Source organism: Homo sapiens, chromosome 1 (assembly GCF_000001405.40).
Source record: "Homo sapiens chromosome 1, GRCh38.p14 Primary Assembly".
Classification (NCBI taxonomy): Eukaryota; Metazoa; Chordata; class Mammalia; order Primates; family Hominidae; genus Homo; species Homo sapiens.
In genome coordinates, this window is record NC_000001.11 from 202190408 (window position 1) to 202215778 (window position 25371).

Below are 25371 nucleotides of genomic sequence, written 5' to 3' on the forward strand. Positions count from 1 at the left end.
AGCCGGGAGCTTTCCCAGAATGAGACTAAAGCACTGGTGCCCTCCCAGGAGGACTAAATGTCAGTGTCCTCCATATGCCATGTTTATCAGGAGCTGAGGGTGGGCCCCCTAATGACCCTCATAAAAGCAGGCTGGAGGCTCTGCTCTGAGCTGCCCAAGTCTGTCTCAAGCAGCTGCTGCTGAGGTTGAAACAGGGCTCAACCATGGCTTTTCCACTCTGGGAAGATCTCACATTGGAGCAGCAGGAGCTGCAAATGAGATGGAGCCGAGGCTATGGTTGAGTGAAGGAAGTGCAGGCTGGCCTGCGGTAGCTTTCTTCCATAGGGCAGAGGTGGCTCTATCTGTGGGTCTTTCTGGTCATGTAGGCCCATCCTCTGGCCTTCCTAGGAGGCTCGTCTTCTTTTATTTATTTATTTATTTATTATTTTTTTTTAATTGATCATTCTTGGGTGTTTCTCGCAGAGGGGGATTTGGCAGGGTCACAGGACAATAGTGGAGGGAAGGTCAGCAGATAAACAAGTGAACAAAGGTCTCTGGTTTTCCTAGGCAGAGGACCCTGCGGCCTTCCGCAGTGTTTGTGTCCCTGGGTACTTGAGATTAGGGAGTGGTGATGACTCTTAACGAGCATGCTGCCTTCAAGCCTCTGTTTAACAAAGCACATCTTGCACCGCCCTTAATCCATTTAACCCTGAGTGGACACAGCACATGTTTCAGAGAGCACAGGGTTGGGGGTAAGGTCACAGATCAACAGGATCCCAAGGCAGAAGAATTTTTCTTAGTACAGAACAAAATGAAAAGTCTCCCATGTCTACCTCTTTCTACACAGACACGGCAACCATCCGATTTCTCAATCTTTTCCCCACCTTTCCCGCCTTTCTATTCCACATAGCCGCCATTGTCATCCTGGCCCGTTCTCAATGAGCTGTTGGGCACACCTCCCGGACGGGGCGGCTGGCCGGGCAGAGGGGCTCCTCACTTTCCAGTAGGGGCGGCCGGGCAGAGGCGCCCCTCACCTCCCGGACGGGGCGGCTGGCCAGGCGGGGGGCTGACCCCCCCACCTCCCTCCCGGATGGGGCGGCTGGCCGGGCAGAGGGGCTCCTCACTTCCCAGTAGGGGCGGCCGGGCAGAGGCGCCCCTCACCTCCCGAGCGGCTGGCCGGGCGGGGGGCTGATTCCCCCACCTCCCTTCCGGACGGGGCGGCTGGCCAGGCGGGGAGCTGACCCCCCCATCTCCCTCCCGGACGGGGTGGCTGCCGGGCGGAGACGCTCCTCACTTCCCAGACGGGGTGGCTGCCGGGCGGAGGGGCTCCTCACTTCTCAGACGGGGCGGCTGCTGGGCGGAGGGGCTCCTCACTTCTCAGACAGGGCGGTTGCCAGGCAGAGGGTCTCCTCACTTCTCAGACGGGGCGGCCGGGGAGAGACGCTCTTCACATCCCGGACGGGGCGACAGGGCAGAGGCGCTCCCCACATCTCAGACGATGGGCAGCCGGGCAGAGACGCTCCTCACTTCCTAGATGGGATGGCGGCCGGGAAGAGGTGCTCCTCACTTCCTAGATGGGATGGCGGCTGGGCAGAGACGCTCCTCACTTTCCAGACTGGGCAGCCAGGCAGAGGGGCTCCTCACATCCCAGACGATGGGCGGCCAGGCAGAGACGCTCCTCACTTCCCAGACGGGGTGGCGGCCGGGCAGAGGCTGCAATCTCGGCACTTTGGGAGGCCAAGGCAGGCTGCTGGGAGGTGGATGTTGTAGCGAGCCGAGATCACGCCACTGCACTCCAGCCTGGGCACCATTGAGCACTGAGTGAAGGAGACTCCGTCTGCAATCCCGGCACCTCGGGAGGCCGAGGCTGGCGGATCACTCGCAGTTAGGAGCTGGAGACCAGCCTGGCCAACACAGCGAAACCCCGTCTCCACCCAAAAAATACGAAAACCAGTCAGGCGTGGCGGCATGCGCCTGCAATTGCAGGCACTCGGCAGGCTGAGGCAGGAGAATCAGGCAGGGAGGTTGCAGTGAGCCGAGATGGCAGCAGTACAGTCCAGCTTCGGCTCGGCATCAGAGGGAGACCGTGGAAAGAGGGGAGAGGGAGAGGGAGAGCGAGAGCGGAGGCTCGTCTTCTACTTTCAGCGCCATGGCACCAACTGGAGGCCTAGGGTCAAGGTCTGCTCATTTCTTGGTCCAGCTATGCAGCCCCTCTAGCCCTGGGAGGTTATTGGGAGAGTGGAGAGGTGTTGATGAGAGGATCCTGGCATGTGGAAAGACAGGGTGGAAGAAATCCTGGATGCCTCTGAGGTCCCAGGTTTCTAGTATACCCTCTGGCTGGACCATGGGGAGATAGGGCAAAAAAAGGAAGGAGGGGGGCCCACAGCCTGCTCTAGCTCTGCGCGGGGGCTTGGCTCAGCATGGGAGAGACCAGAGAGAGCAAGAGGCTGCATGAAGGAAGCACAGCCAGCTCACTATGGTCTAAGGAGAGAACAGGGATTGACCTCAGTTTTAACCACCATGCCCTTTGCTCTCCAGGGCTCTGGGGCCGGCCCAGGTCAGCCACTTGGTGGGATTCCAGCCTCAGGGTGGCTGAGCTGCAGGTGCAGCACCCGGCCTCCAGGTGGCACCAATCCGCTTACTTTGAGGTGGGCTCTGACAACCAGCTGAGCTGCCCACAGTCCCTCAGACTCCCGAGGTCCTGGGAGCAGGGATCAAGGTGGTCCCCAGGCCGTAAACCTGACAGAGGCTGCAGGAGTGCATTTCCACCCAGGGTGCACTCAGCGGGTGTAACTCCACACCCGTTTCTTTGGAGTCAAGGCCCGGCCTCTCAGTGAGGAGACTGCTCCTGGTTGCCCACCGTCGGGTCATCCCAGCCTGCAGTGGAACCCTCCGCAGCCTGGCCTCTTCCAGGGTAGCCCCTCACTCCCCTCTCTCCTGTCCTAGCAGACAGGCCAGGGAGGGTGGACGAGTTCCAGCTCTGGGGATGTCCCATCAGCTGTGTCACCTTGAACAAATCATTTTGCCTCTTGGGTCTCAGTTTCCTGCAGTGTGAAACGTGGTGGAGGCATGAGGGGCAATGGGAGCCCCAAGGCCTCTTTCAGAGACCTCCTCTGGGTCCCATGTGACCTCGTGGCTGTCCCCAAAGGCAAGAGGGTCCCCAGCCCTGCGGCCAAGGCCCTGGGACACCCTATCCAAACAAATGCAGGTCTCTGACGGGCTGAGCTTTGCTCGCTTGGGTTTCTTTGCTTTCTTCCTTTTTTTTTTTTCTTTCCTGGATGAAATTCCTGCCAGCTCCGAAGGAAGGAGGGAAGAGGAGCGAGCCGCAGTGTAGAAAGTTTCCTTGACTCCTCCTCCGGCTGGGTCTCCCTCCCTTGCCAAGCCCAGCCTGTGAAACTGAATAACGAAGATCACTCAACAATGCCTGCCCCTCTCTGACTGCACCGTCCCGGCGCTCCCACCGCCGCCGCCGCCGCCCAATAGAGCCCCTGGGGCGGTCCCCACCGACGGTGCAGCCCGCCGGGACCGGGAGGAAGCAGCTGCGGCCATCGCGCCGTGCGTCCGCGCCCGGCCGCCAGGTGCCCCAGTAGCCCGACCGCCGAGATGCCCAGCCCGCCGGGGCTCCGGGCGCTATGGCTTTGCGCCGCGCTGTGCGCTTCCCGGAGGGCCGGCGGCGCCCCCCAGCCCGGCCCGGGGCCCACCGCCTGCCCGGCCCCCTGCCACTGCCAGGAGGACGGCATCATGCTGTCTGCCGACTGCTCTGAGCTCGGGCTGTCCGCCGTTCCGGGGGACCTGGACCCCCTGACGGCTTACCTGTGAGTACTGCCCGCCTGTCCCCGCCTGGTCCTGCGGGCTGCTGGCTAGCGCCCAGTCCCGGCCTCAGCAGGGCACCTGCTTGCTTGGTGCCCTGGGGCATGGGCATCCCGGAGAGGGTTTGCCCCCTTCCAAGTTGACCGTTGCGGGACTGGGGAGGGGAGAAGAGTCTGAGACTAAATACCAGGCGAGCAGGGAGACCGGGCTTCCCTGACTTGGCTTCCCCATTGGCCTCCGTGCTTGTGGGCTGACTATGGGAGCCCAGGCTTGGCGAGGTGGGTTCTGGACCCTGAGCGGGAGGGCGCGGGGCTGGCTGCTCCATCTCCTGTTGCTGCATTCTCTTCTAGCAGAGCAGTGCCCGGGATGGTGGCTGAGGGTAAAGCTGACAGAACTGGAGGTGGAGGTGAGGGGAGCGTGCCCCAGTAGGGTGGAAATAATGTCTGTTCTTCTGCCATGGTGAGGACAACAGGGCTGTCACACTGAGGCTGGGTGGCCTTCGTGGGGGCGGGGGGGGCGGGTTTCCTAGAAGCTGGGAGGGGGGCCTTATCCACTCTTGTCTCCTCAGAAAGGGACTCTGCCAGCACCATCTCCCTTCACTGGGGCCTCCTGGCTCCCCCAGGGGCCTCCCTAAAGTCATGTCCCAAGAGGCTGTGTTGGAGACACTAATTTGTGGGCAGGCGCCGAGGCTGAAAACCAGAGAACCATTTTTAGCGTCTGAGTTGGGGTGAGATGGCGCGTGAAGGGGACCCTACTGGGGGCAGCTGTCCTGTCTGTCTGGCTCATGGGAGCTTCCCCTCAGAGCTGGAGGGCTGGGGGCTCTGGCTGCTCACCACCTGGGCAGGAGGAGGGTGAGAGAGCACATTCCAGGCCACCCACCTGCACCCCCAGCCCCGCTCTGGGGCAAGGAAACCTCCTCCAGCCCAGCTCTGCAGGCTCTATCAACTTCCTCAGAGGAGCTGGGAGCAGGTGGGAAAGCCTGGTGGGGCCTTCTGCTGAGGGCTAGGATCCCAGAGTTCCTTCTGGCCTGAGAGAGGCTCCTTATGGCTTTGGGGTTCCAGCACATGGGAGCTTAGAGGAAGAGGAGGCTGGGTGAATCTTTATAGGGGCCTAGCAAGAATTTGTGGAACTAAAGATGCTCAGTGTTGGGAGTGTCCTGGTGGGAGGTAGAGGGTCCCAGAGGGCAACTCTTCATGGGGCTCCTCTCCAAATGTCCCTGTCCCCAGGTTGGGATGTCCCCCTCCACTCCAAAAGGCACAGGCTGTGGGCCAGGTAAGGGAGTGGGAAGAGAAAAATAATGTCCATCTAGAAGGACAAATGGAATCCTTCACAGTGCAGTAGGTGACGGCAGAGGCAATCATGGGAATAAAGGTACCAACTGCACAGAGCCTGGGCGCTCAGCATCTGGCAAAGCAGGGCAGGCTCCGGCCCCACCCTACACACAGGCCAGCCCCTCTTTCAGCAGTTTTCTATCCTGGGAGTATGTGACATTGGTTCATTTGAAGACAGGGTCCTGTGGCTAAAGAGTTTAGATGTGACTTCTGTGGAGCCTTTCTCTGGGTGAGCTGAAGGAAGGTCCCTTGCCTGGGTTGAAGGGGCAGGGGAGATAAGGCCTTCCAGAGCTTCCTTTCCCAGCATTAAGTCTTCCTAGACTGGTTAATGACCCTTTTTCTAGAAGGACTTGGGGAAGGAGGTACACTGTCACCTTTGGAATTCAAGCATCCTACCATCCATGCTGGCAGAAGTTTTTCCCACTAGCTTGCCACAATTCCCTCGGAGCTGTGAAGTCTGCATTTGGGTTCAGTGGAGGTGGGGTTTTCTGAGCTGGTCTGTGTCTTCCTGGGGATTGAGAAAGCCCCTCTCTCTCAAGACTCAGGGGATGCTTCTGAGAGTTGTGGAGAGAAGAGAGGGAGTGGGAGCTATAAAGAGTATGATGGGTCCTGAGGCAATATGGGGAATTTAGCAGTGGGGTCTGGAATATTGGAAGGAGGTGGCAGAGGACCGTGTCCCCTGCCCTGGGCTGGGGAGGGGTCCCATCTGGATGGTGCATGAAGGATTCCTACAGTTGTCCTGAGGGTGTCTCAGAGGAGGAATTTTCTTTCTTTGCCCTCTCTGGAGAACAGCTCTACCAGAAAGGCACCTGAAGGTGGGGTTGAGAGCTGGCATGCAGAAGAGCCAGGGTGGGGAAGTCTTGGGGCTCCTTTCTCTTTTCAGCGATGTTAGGAGATGTCCAGCTTGGCCCTGCCCCATGTATCCCAGCCCTTGCTGAGGAGAGCACAGATTCGCATCTGATGATATAATCAGCAGTGCCTCTCTCTGAGCCACTCAAACTTTGGTTCCTTCCTAGCTCTGCCACCTACTGAGAATCACTCACTGAACACCTCTAAGCCTCAGGTTCTTCATGTGTACATGGAGATGAGGAAGCAGGTTGCTGAGTGGATTAAATGAGATAATATGTTCAATGAAAGTCCCCAGAGTGCCTGACACCCGAGGGTAACTCTGAAATGGTGGCTAGTATTATCATGCCTCCTATGGGTGCTCCATGGAGGTGGAGGTAAACTACCAGGCCTCTCCACACCAGAAGAAAATTGAGCCTAGTGGGTGAGTGTAGAATTCAAGGGAATGGTTTGTGGCTGGAGGAAGAGAGCTGTGTGCTGGGGAGGTGACTGTCAGGGCAACTCTTGATCAATACTTGGCTGGTTCTGGGGACTTGGAGCCCAACCAGTTGGTGAAAATTGGGGGTTGGGGATCGGGAGGGAGAGTGGGGACTTAGGTCCTCCTGACACAGAGTTAAAATGAAAAATGTTAAAACACTTGGACATGCAGGAAGTAGCAGGCCAGAGAAGACTCGAAGATCCTTAGAAGAAGCCATAGACAGAACTATAGGAGGCGCCCAGGAGCTATGGGCTCCAGAAGGTACCCGCAAGTCCTCTTGCACATTCCTTGACCTGGTCTCAATAAAAATGACATCACATCTCTTCCCCCACTCCACGGCTGTGAGATTTTCTCCTTCTAGCCAATACCTTTCATGAGGTAGGTGCTTCCACCTCTCCATCTTGGTTCTAGGGAAGACCAGAAAGGCGTCTTTATAGCCAACTGGTATTCTTTGCCTTGACACACATGTCCAAAAACTATTACCACTTTTGGGCTCAATGCCAGCCCTGTTTGATCAAGGTTGGGAAGACGGACTTCAGATACTCACAATCCTCCATATGTCTCTCTTTTTTGCAACAGTTTCCTCTTAAACTATAGTCTCAGCGAGGCTCATTGACACTCACCGGGGTTTTGACATTCTCCCTGGTTAGGGCCTGTTCTGGAAATAGACCAAGAGGGAGATGGAGCCCCTGGCTCTGGGACATCCAATCTGATGGTGACGAGAAGGCATGATGCCTCTTGTTCTATTCTTTTTTCTTTCTTCTTAAAAAAAAAAAAAGAAGACCAGTAATGTGCTGACTTCATAACAAGGTTTGAGGGAGGCACTTCTCACATGTGAGCACGAAAACCCAATTGTCACACTTCTTAACTACAAAAGTATCACCTCTTGTTCTATTCCATTGCATGTGCACATGATGCAGAGACAGGAATACACAGACAGCACATAACTTGTTGGGCAGACAATCCCCGGAGTTGTTGCTGAGCAGAAAGATCTGGGTAGTTACTCTGGGCCCGCAAGGCTGAGCAGTGTCAGTAAACAGATGGTGCCAGAAAAGGTGTCTCACGCAGCTAGTTGTAAAAGACCTCAGGCTCATGCACTTGCAGTCACACCTAAGCACCCATTTTCATCGCCCACTGCCACCAGGGCTGAGGGAGGGGCCGCTACACCAAGCAACCCCCATTCAGACTGCTGATTGCTTTCTTACGAATTCACTCCCTTTAAGATTGCCTGTGATAACTGATAACCACTGGACTTGTTTGACAGGTTAGATGGTGTGTGCATATGTGTCTGTGTGTGTCTGTGTGTGTGTGTAGATACAGGGTAATTTGCAGGGGATGTCTACAGCCAAAATGATGGAGGCAGGATGCTGGAGGCAGAGAGTAAGAGGTTGTGGCATTTGCCACAACAAAGCAGAGTTCAAGCTATCACTTACTAACTATGTAACCCCCAGCCAGTTGATTAGCCCTTCTGTGACTTAGTTTCCTCACCTGTAAACAGGGTTAAGATCTACCTCATAGGGTTGTTGTGTGGATTCACTTAGATGATGTTTGCAAAGGGTTTGGCATAATGTCTGGTCCATGGGAAGAGCTCGATAAATGTTAGCCAGTGTTGTTATTAGGGTGACCAGGGCCAAGAAATGTCAGTCATGGAAGTCTTCCTGGAGGAGGAAGTCCTGGAGCTAGCATGGGAGGGAGGGAAGCAGTCCTGTTCTATGAAAGGCATAGGATAGGTGTGTGTGTAGTTGGGGGCTGTGAGAGCTGCAAGAAGCTGCCAAGAAGATGGAGTGAGTTCTACTGGGAACCAGAGTAATTTTAGGTTTTTTTTTTTTTTTTTTTTTTTTTTTTAAGAGTACAGTCTGAAAATCCAGGGAGGGGAGGGGAGCACCTGATGGAAGACGCCAGCATGCTCCCTTACATGGTCTAGACGGGCCCCTGCAGGGGCTACAGATGAGGAAGCAGAGAAACAGGCAGCCTTAACAGGGGAGAGCCAGCCTTGGAGAGGATGTGTTGTGAGTTGGGGGTGGGGGTGCCAACGTGCCAGGTCTCATTTCTCACTTCCAAGGCCACCCTTCCCTGGCCCAGTCTTAGTTGCCCTTTCTAATAGATTCTAAAAGTTTGACTCCTCCTTCCGGAAACTTGGGGTTTGTGAGTTCTAATCTTCAGTCTCTCAGTTGCTATGAGACCCTGTGCAAGTCCCAAAACTTCTCTGGACCTCAATGTCCAGAGAAGCCATGTTTTGGATGAAAAACTAGAAAGTGGGAGAGGCAGGGAGCAATCCACTTTGAATCTCCTGCTCCTGGTGTGGGACAGAGAAAGCTCCCCGGGAGAGCTGCTCAGCTGCAGGCAGTGAGGGAAGGGAAGGAGGGAAGGGGAGGACCCAGGCAGCACCCAGACCAGGGTGGGGAAGAGAAGGGTGAAGGAGGGGTACAGTGACTCCAGGAAGTGGGGTCCCCTGGGGCTCTCCTGTGCCAGCCTTGCTCCAAAGTGGAGCCTAGTAGGGTGGGCCCATCAGAAGGCAGACCCGGGGGGTCGCCGGAGGTGGGTGAATGTGTGGGGGAGCCAACACCCCAGTTCAAAGGAAAGGCAGGAAACAGCCCTAGGCAAAAGAAAAAGGAAACCTCTCGGCTCTGGCAGCAGCGGGCATGGGGCGCGGCCGGGTGGGGCGGCTGGCGGAGGAGAAGAAAGCCTGGCTCAGAGCAGAGTTGGCCCCCAGCCCACCCCCACTCCACCCCGCCTTCCCCCCATTCCATGGGCTCTCAACCCTGATGGCCCCACATGCGCTGCAGCCTGCTTCCTGCACTGACCCACGCCCCCCGGGGGAGAGACACACAGGGCACAGAAGGTATCCCAATGGGGAGGCCCTGCTGGGCGCAGGCTTGAGTCTCAGCTCCACTGTTGATGAGCTGTGTCTTTGGGCAAATCACTTAACCTCCCCAAAGCTCCAGTCTCTCAGTCTTTAAAATGGAAACACTAATAGTATCTACCTCAAAGGGTTGTGAGGAGAAGCAAATGAGACAAAGAAAGCAAAGGGTTTTTTATGCTATAAGGGCTTACAAAATGTTTACTATTAATATTGTTTTTCTTATTGCCTTCAGCTACAAATAAACTACTGTGAAAAGGGCCCAGCAGAGCTACTGGTGACAGGACGGGGAGTTAGGATGGCAGAGTCTCATCTTCTGGAGCCCCATCAGATCACCCTTCCTTCCCTCCCACCCTCCTCCTTTACTAACAAAGCCCGTCCCACTGACTTTCAGGGAAACAGGCCTTTCAAGCAGCCAGTTCTGCTCTTGGGCTCCTGGGCCGGGATGGTGGAGGAAGTGATCCTTCTCCCAGGGGATGCCCGGAGGAGCTGGGGCTAAGCCTGCCGCCTGGTGGGAGACTCTCCAAAGAGGAAGAATCTGGGCTTCTAGGTTAGCACTGTCTGGAGAGTACAGCTTCTCCCCAGAAATCAGAGTTCCTTGAAATTAGAGTTTCTCTGCTATAGCCCAAGGAAAAGCAGGGGTGAATGGGTCATTTGGGATTGGGAGTGTTGTTGTGGGGGTTGGGGGCAGACATGCCCTGAGGGGCCGTGAGGATCCTCCTCTGAGCTCATTCTTAATGGGCTATGTGACCTTAGGCTAGTGAGTCACTATTGGGAGCAGGGCCAAGATCAAGGAGCCTGCTGGGGCTTCAGACACCTTGGGAAGGTGCAGGAGATGGAGTGGCGGAGAAAATGCCAATCTCCCTTCCCCATGTTGGAAATGGCAACTTCTTTTAGCCAAACCGAAATGAACTCACTGACCTGGGGGCTTCTGAGAATCGTGGGGTCCCCTTTGTACTAACTAGTCCATTGGCAAAAATGGAGTGATCTCCAGTCCCTAATGACAATTCAGGTCTCTCCTCCCGCCCTTCAGACATGGGAGAACAGGTCCCAGGAGGAGAAAAACACCCGAGAGGCCAAACTTGGGCAGTGAGCAGAGAGTTATTTTGGAATCAGCAAAAGGACATGGTGGGGGGAGAGCTCAGGGGTTGGCACTGTGCCCCCCGGAGCCATGCCAGAGCAGGCCATGGGCAGGCCGGCGGCTGGCGGGTTGGAGGGGAGCTGGGCCCGGCTACTTAAGGCACCTCCAGAACTGAAGTTTCCTTTGTGTCCCATCCCCAGCCCCCGCTTCTCTGCTACAATCTTTTGTCTCCTCCAGAAACCATCAGGGGATGCCTATGCTCTGTGTCTTCAATTCTCCCCATCCCTGGGAGATCAGGGCCCTCTCTGATTAACTGTGAGATGTGAATTTGAGGCTGGGACCAGGGAAGCATCTTGCGCCCAGCTCTCTGCCTCTCCTGTCTGCTCCAGCACGGTGAGGATACCTTCCTGGTTGATATTTTCATTCCCTGAACTGTGATCTTCTTCCAGAAAGACACTAGCTCATCAGGAACGTTCATTCTTGGGACCCAGTCTTGATGGCCCCCCATAGGTTCAGAGAGACATACATAGGAATCCACCATCACCCTGATGTCTCTTCCTTTACCAATAATAGTAATAACCAGCGTTTATTGAATGATTGGCATGTGGCAGGAAGTGCGCTCAAGCACTTTATCTGCATCATCTCACATAAACCCCATGAGAGAGGTGCTAGTGTTATCCCCACTTACCAATGAGGAAACCAAGGCTTTTCAGTGCTAAGGAGCTTGCCTAAGACAACCTGCCACTAGTTGCTGGTGGGGGGATTTCAGCCCAGGCAGCCTCCCTCCTACCCACTTTATCTACTGCCTCTCAGAGGCCCACAGCTGAGGGGTTTCCAAACTCCAAGGGAATGAGCAGGACTCTGGCTGCGTCAAAATCTCAGGCCAAGCACCCTCTCAAAGCCTAGTTACAGTTCCTGTCTTTCTGGGGGAAGGATCAGTGGTTTGCCCCATTTCCCTCCCATCCACCAGCAGTGGTTTCTGGGAGCCCATCTATGGGGGCTACTTGGAGGGGAAGGTATTGGGGCTCAGCACAGAAATTGGGGACTCTGGGGAGGGTAAGACGGAATCCTTGAGTGTGGAGATTATCATCAGCGTTGATGTTGAGGACCTACTGTCTGCTGGATCCTCTGGGAGGCAGTCAGGGTGATGACTGTCAGTGAGAGACCAGCCAGGTGCACGTGAGAAGTGAACTCACTGTATCAGATAATCCTGGGAGCATCCAGGGAGGACCAGAGGTGAGGTCCACAGGCATTCAAGGGAGAAAGAGGACCGAGGTGGCCAGGGAAGGCCCAGGGGAGAGAGAAGAGGCTTGAGTCCTGAAGACCAGAAGGACTTAACTCAGGGCCAGGAGAAGGGGAAGCCATGAGCCCAGGTTAGAATGAGGAACCACATTGGGGCTTTTGTACTTCATCTCCACGACCTGTTCTGTCCCACTCCCTGGGGCAGCATGTTCTAGAGCAGGGTTTTCTGCCCTTTTTCCCTCAGGGCACACATTTTAAAAACACAGACACACACATACACAAACACACAAACGCAATCCAAGGTATTCAGTGTCCTGGGTTAAACCAACAAGGCCTCTCAGGCGAAAGGCACCCAGTCAACCCTGGGCAGCATCCAGCCATCCCAAGGGATAGGAGACCCCATCTGGGCACACACCTGGAAGCGCTGCTATAGAAGAAAGAGTGCATGTTTGCAGCCAAGCAGACATGGGTTCGAGGCTAAGTTCCAGCTCTAACCAGCTATGGCTATATGTTTCTTCACCTCTCTCAGCTTCTGTTTTCTTGCTTTCAAAATGGGCATACGGAAAGATGTTTATAATTAGACACAGTGCTTGGCACATAGCAAATGCCCAATCTATGGGAGCTATGGTTATTATCTATCTAGTCTCCCCTTGAGAGGAGGCACTTGGGAGGAGCGGTGGAGGCAGGCCTGCAGTGGCCCTTCATTTCACCTATTTGACTCTGCCTGCCTAGAGCTTGCCGAGAATGAGACCCAGAGGGTCGGTCCTAGGACACAATTCCTCTCACCCTCTGCTTCTGCCACCATCCTTTCCCCTTTGCCCTTGGAGGTGCTGGAGGAGGTGGGAGTGTCCCCGAGAGTGTCCAGACTGCATAAGGTGGCAGAAAGGTGCTGAGTGTCTTCCATTGCACCAGTGTCAGGGACTTGGATGTGGTCCCCAGGCCCAAAGCCAAGGCAGATGGACTCATGGAGGGGGAGGAGCAGAGGAGCAGTGCGGAGTCACTCTCTCCATGTAGCACCCCCAGCTCAGTGCATTGCTGGGGTTCTTGCAGGGCAGATGAAGTGCTTCTTTGTATAGGGGAATATGTGGGTGAACCAGGAAAATGGGAGCCTAGTACATGGAGGTTTATTCCAACTCCCTGTGTGATTGGCAAGTTAGAATTGCCCCCCTACCTGAGTTATTATTGGCTCCTGAGAAACAGGCCAAAGGCAGCCCCCACTAAGAAGCTTTTAGCACCTCCTATAGGAAGGAAGCCTTCCCAGTGAATCCAGTGTGAGGATTCTTTTCTCCAGGTCTCTGGACCTCTCCCAACATGCTCCATGTTCCTTTGCACGAAGAAGAACAGCGCAGTTCGGTAGAGTGTATGTAAGCCCCGGTTGCCATCAGCACACTGTGTGGATTCTGGCAATACCTGTCATCCCCACTGGTGCTGCGGTGCCCCTCATGCCCCTTGTTAATAACCAATGATAGTGCCACTTGAACTCCCAGGCTGTTGTGAGGAGCAAGCATTCATTCATTCATTCATTCAATCACTCATTTGTTCATGTGACAAATGTGGATTGAATGCTTGCCCTCTTTCCTCTCCCCTGGAGCCTTGGAGAGAGAGATAAGACAAGCGCAAATAACTGTGACCTGTTGTAGGAAGTGAGAAATACACCCAGGCAGGGCCAGATACTGCGTAGCAGGCGGGGCACAGAGGAGGGAACGCTTGTGTCTAACTGATGCTCCTAATGCGGAAGCCCCTGAAAGGCGGTTGTGGTGCAAAGGAAAACCCACAGGCCAAGGAATGGGAAGACCAAGGTTGACACTTGTTTGTCAAGTGTCAATAATCATCTCTGCCCGGTGAGTTGTTGCATGAAGCAAGATCCTCCTTGGGGGGTGTTTAGCACAGAGGGGGTGCGATTTTATTTCCTGTGAAAATACCAGGTAGTATTATGTTCACTATGTCTTTGTAGGGTGTGTGTGTCCCCATCTGTCTGTATGTTTGTCTGATTGTGATGCTCTACTTCATCAGATTCAGGGTTCCTTGTGGACAGGAGCTGTGTTTCTTTGCATCAGGAGAGGGGAACTCTTTTAGGGCAGGGGCCATGCCTCCTCCTTCAGTCTGGGAGCTTCCTGAAGGCAGGATCTGTGCTCGTGGTTCCTTTTCTTGGGATCACATCACAGACACCTCCTTCAAGCACACACACACACCTCCACACACACACACACCTCCACACACAACCTCCAAACACACACACACCTCCAAACACACACACCTGCAAACACACACACACCCAACACACACCTCCTCCTAACACACACACCTCCACACACACACACCTCCACACACACACACCTCCACACACACACCTCCACACACACACCTCCAAACACACACCACACACACACCTCCAAACACACACACACACCTCCACACACACACACCTCCACACACACACCTCCAAACACACCTCCACACACACACCTCCAAACACACACACACCTCCAAACACACACACCTCCTTCAAACACACACACACCTCCAAACACAAACACACCTAACACACACCTCCTTCAAACACACACACCTCCAAACACACACCTCCTTCAAACACACACACCTCCAAACACACACACACCTCCAAACACACACACGCCTCCAAACACACACACACCCCCAAACACACACACACACCTAACACACACCTCCTTCAAACACACACACACCTCCAAACACACACACACACCCCTCCTTCAAACACACACACACACCTCCACACACACCTAACACACACTTCCTTCAAACACACACCCTCGAAACACATGTCCTTCAAACACACACACACCCTCCAAACACACACACCTCCTTCAAACACACACACACACCTCCAAACACACACACACACCTAACACACACCTCCTTCAAGCACACACACGCACCTCCAAACACACACACACCTAACACACCTCCTTCAAACACACACACACCTCCAAACACACACACCTCACACACCTCCTTCAAACACACACACCTCCAAACACACACACACCTAACACACACCTCCTCCACACACACACACGTACCTCCAAACAAACACACACCTAACACACCTCCTTCAAACACACACACACCTCCACACACACCTAACACACACTTCCTTCAAACACACACCCTCGAAACACATGTCCTTCAAACACACACACACCCTCCAAACACACACACCTCCTTCAAACACACACACACACCTCCAAACACACACACACACCTAACACACACCTCCTTCAAGCACACACACGCACCTCCAAACACACACACACCTAACACACCTCCTTCAAACACACACACACCTCCAAACACACACACCTCACACACCTCCTTCAAACACACACACCTCCAAACACACACACACCTAACACACACCTCCTTCAAACACACACACACCTCCAAACACACACACACCTCCTTCAAACACACACACACCCTGCTTCAAACACACACACCCTCCTTCAAGCACACACACACACCTCCAAACACATATGCACACCTCCTTCAAACATACACATACACACCCTCCTTCAAACATACACACACACCTCCTTCACACATACACATACACCTCCTTCAAACACACACACACACGCACACCTCCCTCAAACATACACACACACCTCCTTCAAACATACACACACACCCCTAACACACACACCTTCTTCAAACACACACACACACCTCCTTCAAATACACACACACACCTCCAAACACATACGCACACCTCCTTCAAACATACACACCTCCTTCATACACACACACCCCAACACACACACCTCCTTCAAACACACACCTCCTTCAAACACACACCCGTCCTTCAAACACACACACACCTAACACACACACACACCTCCTTCAAACATACACACACATCCTTCAAGAACACACACACACACAGACACACAACACACACACACACACACACCCCTAGTATGGGTCTCCGCCTGCAGGGGGCGCTCAGGACAGGACTGTAAACAGTTCCAGTGTATGCATTTCATTTTTTCTCCCTTCCTCTCAGCTCCAGATCTGGGGCAACCCAGGGTTGGGAGTGTTTGAGGATGGAGGACACTGGATCAAGTGTCCAGGAATTGTGAGAGTTGAGGCAGTTAGGGGCTGTAAACTAATCCGCTGCCTTTGTGGTGGACAGAGCAGATTAGGAGACTGGGAGGAGACGAGAAAGGAAGGGAACCATTGTCTAGGACAAAAGCAAGAGAGAATGAGCATTGCGACAGGACCTGGGCTCCCACCCTCACTTACCTGGGGCCGATGAGAGCTCAGGACCCAAAGGAGTCAGAGCCGGGAACCAGATCACGTCTCAGGCCACCATGGACCCGGCCCCCCAGCGCAGTTACCTGCTTCAGCATGTGTGACTGGGTGGCCAGGATCCCTTCACAGACATGCCACCCACACAGTCACACAGGGCCCTGTGCTTGGGCCATTGCTCTGCTGTTGCCATGTTATTTTTTTCGGTTGTGTGTGTGTGTTATTTTATTTTATTTTTTCGAGACAGGATCTTGCACTGTCACCCCGGCTGGAGTGCAATGGTACGATCTCCGCTCACTGCAGCCTCAACTCCCTGGGCTCAAGTGATCCTCCCACTTCAGCCTCCTGAGTAGCCGAGACTACAGGTGCACACCACCACAACCAGCTAATTTTTAAGTTTTTTTAAAATTAAAAAACTTAAAACTTATAATGGGATCTCACTATATTGCCCAGGCTGGTCTTGAACTTGCTGGGATTACAGGCGAGAGAGCTGTGTAAATTTTTAATAATTTTATTACAAGGGGCCCCACATTTTTATTTTGCACTGGGTGCTGCAAATTATTTTATTTATTTATTTATTTATTTATTTATTTATTTATTTATTTATTGAGACAGAGTCTCGCTCTGTCACCCAGGCTGGAGTGCAATGGCGCTATCTTGGCTCACTGCAACCTCCGCCTCTCGGGTTCAAGCGATTCTTCTGCCTCAGCCTCTCAAGTAGCTGGGATTATAGGCTCCTGCCACCATGCCCAGCTAATTTTTGTATTTTTAGTAGAGACGGGTTTTCGCCATGTGGCCAGGCTGGTCTCGAACTCCTGACCTCAGGTGATCCACCCACCTTGACCTCCCAAAGTGCTGGGATTACAGGTGTGAGCCACTGTGCCCGGCCGGTCCTGCAAATTATGGAGCCCTTTCTCCCCTTAACCTAGGGGCTAGGGCAGGAGGGGATGAGAGGAAGGGGTCTCCCTCTCAGGGATGCCACAGGGGAGATGAGGCAGCCTTTGTCCAGATGGGCAGGAGGTGGCCCCAGGACTAGAGGGGAGACTGAGCAACCTTGGGTTGGAGGTGCTTCTTGGCCTGAGCGTGGCATCTGCAGGGGCCAGGGACTATGGGGTGCATTGTGCTAGAGTGGGCACAGGGGGCACACCAGAGTCTCAGTGTTTCTGGGAATGAGGCAGTTGTCAGGCTCTGGCAGGCAGGGATTCTGCTTGAAAGGGAGGGCAGAGGGCCCATCCCACAGATGTCAGATCCTGTGTGTGTTGGCCTCCTTCCCAGTTTCTTATAAATCTAGCAGAGTGGGTAAGTGCACAAACCCCAGAGCCACTCCACCTAAGTTCAGATTCTGGCTCTGCCTTTTACCAATCCTTGGGGAAAGATTTACCCTCTTTGTGCTTTAGTTTCCTCACCTGTAATAGAGGGATGACAACGATGCCCTTGTTAAATGAGTTAATATATGCAAAGTGCCTAGAACGGCGTCTGGCACACAGTAACCATTCAATGGATGTTAGCTATTATTTTTCATTTATTCAACCTGTGAATATGTATTAAGTATACACTTAGTAGTAGGCACAGCTGTGCTAGGTGCTGACACTAACTTTCACTGCAAAAAACAGAGTCCCTGGTCCAGCTGTGGAGATAAATTCTTAGTAACGCCCCAAGTGAGCGCCTGGACTTGGGAAATCCTACCACTGACCTGCAGAGCCCTGCTGGCTCAGCCTCTCCCTCCAATCTCCCACCCTCCTGCTGCAGTTTTTCTCTGTCCTGTGGAGTGAGGAGTTGCATGAGTCCTCTGGAGGAAGGAGGTGCTTCCAAAGTTTCCCTCCTCCAATTTCGTCGCAACCCTCCTGACTCCAGCAACTGGAACTTTAGGTTTGTTCTCTGGTGGAAGTGGGATCAGGAGACCCTGGGCTAGGACGCTGTCTTTGCCGCCAACATGCTGAGTGCCTTTGGACAAGTCCTCTGATGCCTTTGGGTCTGTTTCCTGTGGGGTGAGAGTTCCTGACCCCAGGATATTACAGAGACAAATGATGGTGTATAAAGAAAGATACAAAGAGGGGAGAGAGAGAGGAGAAGGAGGGGGGAGAGAGAGAGAGAAGGGGCATGAGTGAGCCAATGAAGAGGAGACTGTGATGTGAGGGAGGTGCCAGGGTCCCCTGAGATTTGCAGTGTTCACTCCGTGAGACTTGAGATCCCAGGGGCCGGGATAGGACATGGCCATCATCAGCACCTCGAGGGCTGTGTGCCTACCCAGAACAAGGCCCCCCATTAACTATGTGCAGCCAGTGGAAAGAGGAATGCCTACCCCCCCGCCAGCCGACGCCACGCCAGCCCTCGCCTCGTTGCCCACTCCCCTACTCTGAATGCAGAAGCCCAGGGTGCCACCTCCCCCTCTGCCTGCCCTGCCTCCACCTGCCAGAAAGCATTAGCTTCACTGTCTAGATTGGCATGGGGGCGCAAAGGCACCATGTTGCGGGGCCCAGGGCACCTGCTGGGGGTGGGGCTTGGGGTCAGGAAATACCTGGGCTAACCCCTGGAACCCTAGCATGCCCAGTGCCAATGAGCAAATGGCCCTAGAGCCATAGGGGTAAAGAGTGTAGTAAGAGGGGAAGGCTTGGAAGCTCAGAAACTTGGCCTGGGGAGCCCTTCTGACACCTTACTCCAGCCCCTTACCCCTAACCTCGGCTGGGACCTCCAGATGGGCAGATCAAGTCATTACACCCCACCATTTGCTTAGTGTTTGACCCCCTGGGAATGTGATCACTGGGAAGTTCTTCCTAGAGTCCCTCCTCCTTCCTATCATAGTGTCCCCAAGTTTCCCTCCTATTTTGGCCAGAGGGGAGAGAGCCCAAAGCTAACCCCTTCTTTGTTAGCCCCATAGGCAATGGTGGGGTGACCTGGGTTTCATTTCACTTTCTCCATGAGGAAGGGATCCTGGCCTATAAAGGCAACCTTGGAGACGCCACACCTGCCATCCCCAGGGATCCTGGAGGGGCTGCCTGCTGCTGAGGAGGTCAGAGGCCTCTCCCTGCTCCTCCTCAGAAATCCACACATCCACTCAGCCTGCCCGCCCCACAGTGTTCTGGGCTGCAGCTAGTCCAGGCAACATCTTTGTGAGAAATAGAAAAGGGTGCCCCTTGCCCCAGTGGCCCTACCACGTGGGGAGCGGGCAGAGTTGATGAGTGGGGCAGGAGCAGATTTTGTCCTCTGGTTGGCCCCTTGGCCAGACACCTTTGTCTAGACCAGGCCACAGTGGCATATTTCTATGAGTCAGCCTGGTCAATACTTAGTTAAAAAAAGTGATTTAAAACATATTTATAAAAGATTGCTTAAAGGAGGTTTATTCTATGGATTCCCTTGGATATCCTAAAGCCTTTCACTCGAAGTATGGTTCACAGCCCAGCAGCATAGCATCGGCATCATCTGTGAGTGTGTGAGGAATGCAGAAGCTCAGGCCTCAACCCTGACCTACTGAGCCAGAATCTTCATTTTAGGGTTTGCCAAGCACTGCCTCAAGCTTATTCATGGAATAAGTCAGATCATCAGTGGAGCTGCTGGACAGCCACTCTCTACTCCATCTCCTACAGAAATGCTTTTACCTAGTTTGTACTTAGGTGATGCACCATTGGTTTATATCCAGGTCTATAAGAAACAGCCCTATGGACATCACGGTTGATTTACTGCAAGGATGTGGTGAAGAAATGGGTTCAGACCAGAAGCCTGCTGCTCTGGTGGGGTATTTGGAAGAGGCAAGGAAGCATCAGCTTCATTTAGGATGTAAGGGGCTGACTGAGATGTCTCTTCCTCTGGGAAACCTTCCCTAATCCCTCAACTCTGGGGGAGGCCTCCCCTCTGTGTGCCTGCCCTGCCGCAAGGCTCATTCCCTTGGGTTCAGATTCCTGGTTACTTGTCTGTTTCTCAGACCAGGCTGGGACCCCCAAGAAAGCAGGGGCCTGGCCACCATTGCTCTCCTGGTATCCTCAGTGCTGGCCCAAGCCCTCTGCACATGGATGCTCAAAAATATTGGTGGAATGAGTAAAGAGATGAATGAGTGAATGAATGAATGAACAAATGACTGGCCAGAGGCTGGGAGGTACAGAGCAGAAAAAAAAAAAAAAACAAAAACCCTAGGCTGGAGCAGATGGACCTATTTGAGAGAGAGGGAGGGAGGGCAGCCCTCTTCAGACCTGGTAGTAGCACTAACCTGGCTCCACCACAGGCAGGAGCCCGAGGTGTGGCTTCCAACCCAGACGGCTGCGGTGAGGATGGAGCCGCACTGGGGAGCCTCTTAAGCTGCCAGCCAGTCAGCTCGTGGCCAGGCTTGGGTTTCATTAGAGTGAGACATCTGTTCTATAAACCCTTCCACTTAGAAGCTTTTGCCTTTCCTATTCATTCTCTTGATTTTTTTTAAAGAAAACTTCTTTTGAAAATTTCCATCCAATTCCAAACAAGCTAGGACGAACAAAGGTATGTGCCTGCCCCTAGGCTTGGATAGAGGACTCTAGCAACTTGAGGCTGTGGGTTCTTGAATCTCCACAGTGTGCCCGACACTTGCCTAGGCTCTGAAGATCCCAGATAAGTAAGACTTGAATTTTGCATTAACAGAGATTACAATTGGGTCAGAAAATTACCATTGTGTGCGTTAAGCATGAGGCAGGAGACAAGCATAGGCTGGTTGTGGGGGGACTTAGAAGGTGGGTAGGATGGGGCAGCAGTGGGAAGGAATGTGTCTCATTGTGGAATCCTGTGAAGATCCAGGGAACTGGGGCCAATGGCCAGTTAACCCTGGGAGAGAAGCCTGGCAACACCAAAGCCCATGGCCATGCCAGCAAATCTCAAGTGTTTATTGAGCATCTACTATGTGCCAGAGCCTGGGGAAAGTGCTGGGGATACACAGATGAGTATGATGAAACAATATACAGAAATAAACATCCAATTTCATTTAATGACATAAAAACTGAGAATTATTCATGAGATGCCATGGGAACCTAGAGGGGAGCCCTCAGAAAGCCTGAGGTTCACGAAGACTTTCAGAGTTTGTTTTTTTGAGACAGAGTCTCACTCTGTTACCGAGGCTGGAGTGCAGTGGTGTGATCTTGGTTCACTGCAACCTCTGCCTCCCAGCCCCCCAGGTTCAAGCAATTCTCCTGACTCAGCCTCCCAAGTAGCTGGGATTACAGGCATGTGCCACCACACCCGGCTAATTTTTATATTTTTGTAGAGATGGGGTTTCACCATGTTGGCCAGGCTGGTCTCAAACTCCTGGCCTCCAGTGATCCGCCTGCCTTGGCCTCCCAAAGTGCTGGGATTACAGGCGTGAGCCACTGCGCCTGGCCCAGAGTTTGTTTTTTTAAACTAAATATAATATACATAATAGAAAAGCGTACATATCATAAGTGTATAGCTTGGTACATTTCCATAAGCAAATACACTTGTGTAACCAGCACCTGGACCAAGAAAGAGAACATCATCAGCTTTCCAGAAGCCCTCCACCCCCATGCCCTCTGCTGGTCACTACCCACCCCCACAAAGATAGCAACGATCGTGATTTCTAACAACATAGGTAGGCTGTGCCTGTGTTTTGAACCTTATCATAAATGGGGCATTATTTTGCATCTGGCTTCTTTTCCTCACCATGTTTGAGGATTCACCCATGTTGTTGCTGGTGGTCATAGTTCGTTCATCCTCATTGTGGCATGGTACTTACTATGGGTGAATACAACCCAGTTTACGCATTCCACTGTCGATGGGCAACCAGACATGTTCTAGTTGGGAGTATCATGGCTACCACCGCTATGAGCAGTTTCGTACGGTTGTCTAGTGAGCATATGGATGTGTGTCTGTTGGTTAAGTCCCCAGCAATGGAATTGCTGGATCAGAGTAGATCCAAGGGAGTCTCAAGGGGGTGAGAATGACTTTCCTAGGTGGAGAAGTGTGGGATGGGTCACTGGCTTGGGCCAGTGATGGAGGGCGAGCAGAGGGAAGGACAGGAGGAAGCCACAGTGGGAAGAGGGGCTTGAGGACCAGCAGCACACTGAGGCTCTGCTGATTGTTCCCCGCTTACCTGGGTTAGTTTCCAGTGGCTGCCGTGACAAAGTACCGCAAACTGGGTGGCCTAAAACAACAGAAGTTTATTCTTTCACAGTTCTGGAGGCCAGAAACCCAATATCAAGATGTCAGCAGGGCCACATTCCTGTCAATGGCTCTAGGGGAGAACCCACTGCGTGCCTCTTCCAGCTTCTCGTGGTTACCACATCACTCCAATCTCTGCCTCTGTCTTCACCTCACCTTCTTCTCTGTGTGTGAGCTCTGCGTGTCTACACAAGGGCAATTGACATTGGATTTAGAGCCCACTCAGATAATCCAGGAGGATCTCCTCATCTCAAGATCTCTTACTTAGCTACATCTGCAAAGGCCGTTTTTTCAAGTAAGATCATATTCACAGGTTCCAGGGATTATGAGGTAGACACACCTTTAGGGAGGCCACCATTCATCCACCACACTTTCCCTCACTCCCATGCTAACACCCCCAGCTCATTTCCCCCCTTTGCACAGCTCTGAGGCAGGCCACTTTCTGATGGCAAATCATGTCTCTCTTGGCCAGCTCAGGCCAAGCTTCCTCCAGGAAGCCCTCCCTGACCCACAGGTACTTGAGATTCCTCCAGCACTAATGTATAAGGCTCTGTCCAGCAGTATCTGTGGGTCTGAATCTCTCCTCAGACCGAAGTTTCCTGAGGGCAGGGAACACACACTGTTCACAGGGGCACACACACTTTCTCCAGTGCTCATCCAGGGCTCTGCATAAACTGGTTCTGGCAATAAGGAACTTGGGCTGAAGTCACCTTTCCAGCAGTGTCTGGTCCAGCCAGGGCATCATGCCCAGTAACAGCCCCGATGTCCAACACTTCCCCATGTCCTCTTCTCCCCCTAGACACTGCCACCTTAGGGGTCCTGGCTGTTACTTCGTCCCAGGGCCTGACTGGTAGTCTTAGTTACACACACAACACAGGGGAGGGAGGAAGGAGCTTGGGGCAAAGGGAGGGAGTCCAGCCCTTTGCCTTTCCTTGGAGAAGGCAAGGGAGACAGGAATGCCTTTGGCTGGGAGACCCTGGCCAGAGATCAGAAGATCAAAGGATGAGAAGATCAGGGGCGAGGCAGGTGGCACTCACTTGGAGGCACCAGAGAGAAGCGGCAGCTGCTGCCTCCTAAGGGCAGGGCTGACCCAGAACGCCCTCCTCTACCCACAGCCTCCCCAGCCTATCTTTCCTAACTTTATAGCCCTGCTTCTCCACCAGGAGGGGCTCTGTTGGTTACATGCAGGTGAGGAGAGGGATGTCCACTGACATTCATGCTACACCCATGGGTTCTCCCATTTAAACCTCACAACATTATCTTATGGGGAATATTAGATACTATTTTATAGATGCAGAAACTGAGGCACAGAGAGGAAAGGAACTAGTCCAATATCAAACAACTGCTAAGTGTTAGGGCCAAGATACAAACTCTGGCAGTCTGACCCCAGAGCCACTGAGGATTACATTATAAGGGCAGGCAGAGAACTCTATTCAGTCCAACTGCAGCATGAGGGAGTGAGGCTAGGTATCAGGAAGGACTTCTTGTTGGGCAGGTATTTTAGATCCAGATCTTGGATCTAGTCTTTCTATAGCTCTGATGAACCAAATAGTTCGGGAGTTAGGGAAGAGGGCAGATGGGTGGGGCGCTATCCAGAGGGAAGGGCATACGAGAGAAGCGGCAGAACGAGAGAGGATCAGCGCGGAGGGTGGCGGGCACTGGACCGCAGAACTGGCACTCGAGGTCCCAGGGGCCGGAATGCGCTTGGAGGGAGAGGGCCGCTCAGCGAGGGCGGGACAGAACCTCTCCCGGGCTGGGAGTGCACGGCGCGGTGCGCCCAGGTAGGCTTGGGGGAAGGGTGCCGAGCTCCGGAAAGTTCCACAGGTCCTCCGCAGCCCTGGGGAGCAGGACCCAGAAACCGACGCGACGGGTGGGGCGCTACCCGGGCCGGCCCTAATCCCCTTCCATTGTTCTGGGAGCCGAGGCCGCCTCCCCACTTCCGGACCCTTTCAGCCATGGAGCGGGCGGCGCGGGCAGGGGCGGGCAGGGGCACGGCCAGGCGGGCTGGGGTGGGCAGGGGCGCGCGCGCGAGGCTGGTCCCCGCCCCCGGGGCCGCCGCTTAGCTCCCGGGTACGTGCGTGCAGCTAGGGGCTCCACTGAACCACCTGGCGTGGGTTCGCGCTGCCAATTCTTAACTTTGTGGCACAGTGGGAAGTAACTTGATATTTCCGAATCTCCGTTTCTTCATTTAAAATGGGAATAAATAATGCTTCGTTCCCTGACCTATTAAAAAGGATCAAATTAAATGAAACCAAGGATGTTCAAGAGCTCTATAAACTGCAAAGACGTGGAGTGGGGGTCTGGAGAGGCGGAAAGGTGGCGAAACCTCTTAATTTTGCTGAACCTCATCTGTAAAATGGGTCAGTGAAATCTTTAGCACAGTGTGTGATCCAGCAAACGTAGCTCTTTTTATTATATGCTCTGAACTTTATCTTCTGCTCTTTTCTCCTAGATTCAAATTGAGTCTGGGATCCTGTCCAATTTAGAAAACCCTCTGGCTAGGGTAGGGGTAAATGGTGTTTGGGTGCACCTGGGTGTGTGTGTGTGTGTGTGTGTGTGTGTGTGCGCGCGCGCGCGTTGGTGAGTTGAGTTGCTGGGTTGGGAAGGAGGGTGCTCTGATGTAAAAGAAAAGCTCCCATCTGGGATGGGGTTAGTGAGGGTGGTGGGGGTGGTGAGGGTGGGACTCTGAATAGAGGGCTTTCTCCAGTTTTCCACCCCCAGACACACCCTGCCTGTTTATCCATGAAATAAAGGCAGCAGGACAAGGAGCTTCAGCTAAACAAACAAGGCTCAGAGATGTGGTCTGACTTCACCTCCCCAATCCTTGTGCACCCTAGTTCTTCCCACCTGCATCAGCTCCACCCAGTTCCTCTTCTGGTGGCCCTGGCTGGGAGCTCAGGGATTTCCATGCGAGGAGGGAAGTGCAGTTTTTACCCATGGAGAGGTCTGATCTAATAGGATATCTCAGTCCTTCTTTCTAAGGGGCTTCCAGTCTGATAGGGTGAACAGAATTCACGCCCACATACCTCCACACACAGAAACAGTGCCCTCCTAGATGGAGCTGGAGATCAGAATGAGGGCTAGAAGAGATGCTGGTGAGTCAGGGGAGACCAGGCTTAGCAGGATTGAGTGGCCAAGTCCTCTAATGCACAGCCACTGCCGTTTTCATGTGCAGGATTCATTCCATTTCCCTCCTGCCTCAGAATCTGTCTTCCGTCCCTCTTCAATCCCTTGTCCAGGACCCGCAGGTGGGATGCCCACCCCTCGGAAGCTGTAGAAAATGAGCCTTGAAGCTGCGTGTGTATGTGACAAGGACAGACAA

General features: G+C 53.5%; 1 protein-coding gene and 1 non-coding gene across 14 annotated transcripts in view, besides 5 other annotated features; one reads left to right on the plus strand and one right to left on the minus strand.

Annotated features, from left to right (window-relative positions):
• Window positions 1978-2781: an enhancer, noted in NCBI's record as "H3K27ac-H3K4me1 hESC enhancer chr1:202161513-202162316 (GRCh37/hg19 assembly coordinates)". NCBI's record gives its function as "activates a minimal SCP1, AML or CMV promoter by ChIP-STARR-seq in naive H9 embryonic stem cells {active_cell/tissue: H9 hESC(naive)}" and the evidence as "EXISTENCE:reporter gene assay evidence [ECO:0000049][PMID:30033119]".
• Window positions 2476-2525: an enhancer, noted in NCBI's record as "active region_2331". NCBI's record gives its function as "activates an Ori minimal core promoter by ATAC-STARR-seq in GM12878 lymphoblastoid cells {active_cell/tissue: GM12878}" and the evidence as "EXISTENCE:reporter gene assay evidence [ECO:0000049][PMID:35858748]".
• The window catches only part of LGR6 (leucine rich repeat containing G protein-coupled receptor 6), a 125963-nt gene continuing 103983 nt past the window's right edge, over window positions 3392-25371 (plus strand). For 8 of the 13 annotated variants that reach the window (XM_005245404.4, XM_011509839.3, XM_017001996.2 and 5 more), the window contains exon 1: window positions 23672-23830. In XM_005245404.4, coding sequence (XP_005245461.1) covers window positions 23748-23830 — 83 coding nt within the window. In that variant the 5' untranslated portion in view covers window positions 23672-23747. Of the gene's footprint in view, window positions 3795-13304; window positions 13469-23671; window positions 23831-25371 lie in introns of those variants that run through there. The other 5 variants (NM_001017403.2, XM_047426928.1, XM_047426929.1 and 2 more) reach the window with 2 other exon arrangements.
• LOC124904840 (small nucleolar RNA U13) lies at window positions 7221-7324 on the minus strand. The gene has a single exon (XR_007067436.1). It is a non-coding gene; the product is annotated as a small nucleolar RNA U13 (small nucleolar RNA).
• Window positions 13336-13405: an enhancer, noted in NCBI's record as "active region_2332". NCBI's record gives its function as "activates an Ori minimal core promoter by ATAC-STARR-seq in GM12878 lymphoblastoid cells {active_cell/tissue: GM12878}" and the evidence as "EXISTENCE:reporter gene assay evidence [ECO:0000049][PMID:35858748]".
• Window positions 23253-23753: an enhancer, noted in NCBI's record as "H3K4me1 hESC enhancer chr1:202182788-202183288 (GRCh37/hg19 assembly coordinates)". NCBI's record gives its function as "activates a minimal SCP1, AML or CMV promoter by ChIP-STARR-seq in naive and primed H9 embryonic stem cells {active_cell/tissue: H9 hESC(naive and primed)}" and the evidence as "EXISTENCE:reporter gene assay evidence [ECO:0000049][PMID:30033119]".
• Window positions 23754-24254: an enhancer, noted in NCBI's record as "H3K4me1 hESC enhancer chr1:202183289-202183789 (GRCh37/hg19 assembly coordinates)". NCBI's record gives its function as "activates a minimal SCP1, AML or CMV promoter by ChIP-STARR-seq in naive H9 embryonic stem cells {active_cell/tissue: H9 hESC(naive)}" and the evidence as "EXISTENCE:reporter gene assay evidence [ECO:0000049][PMID:30033119]".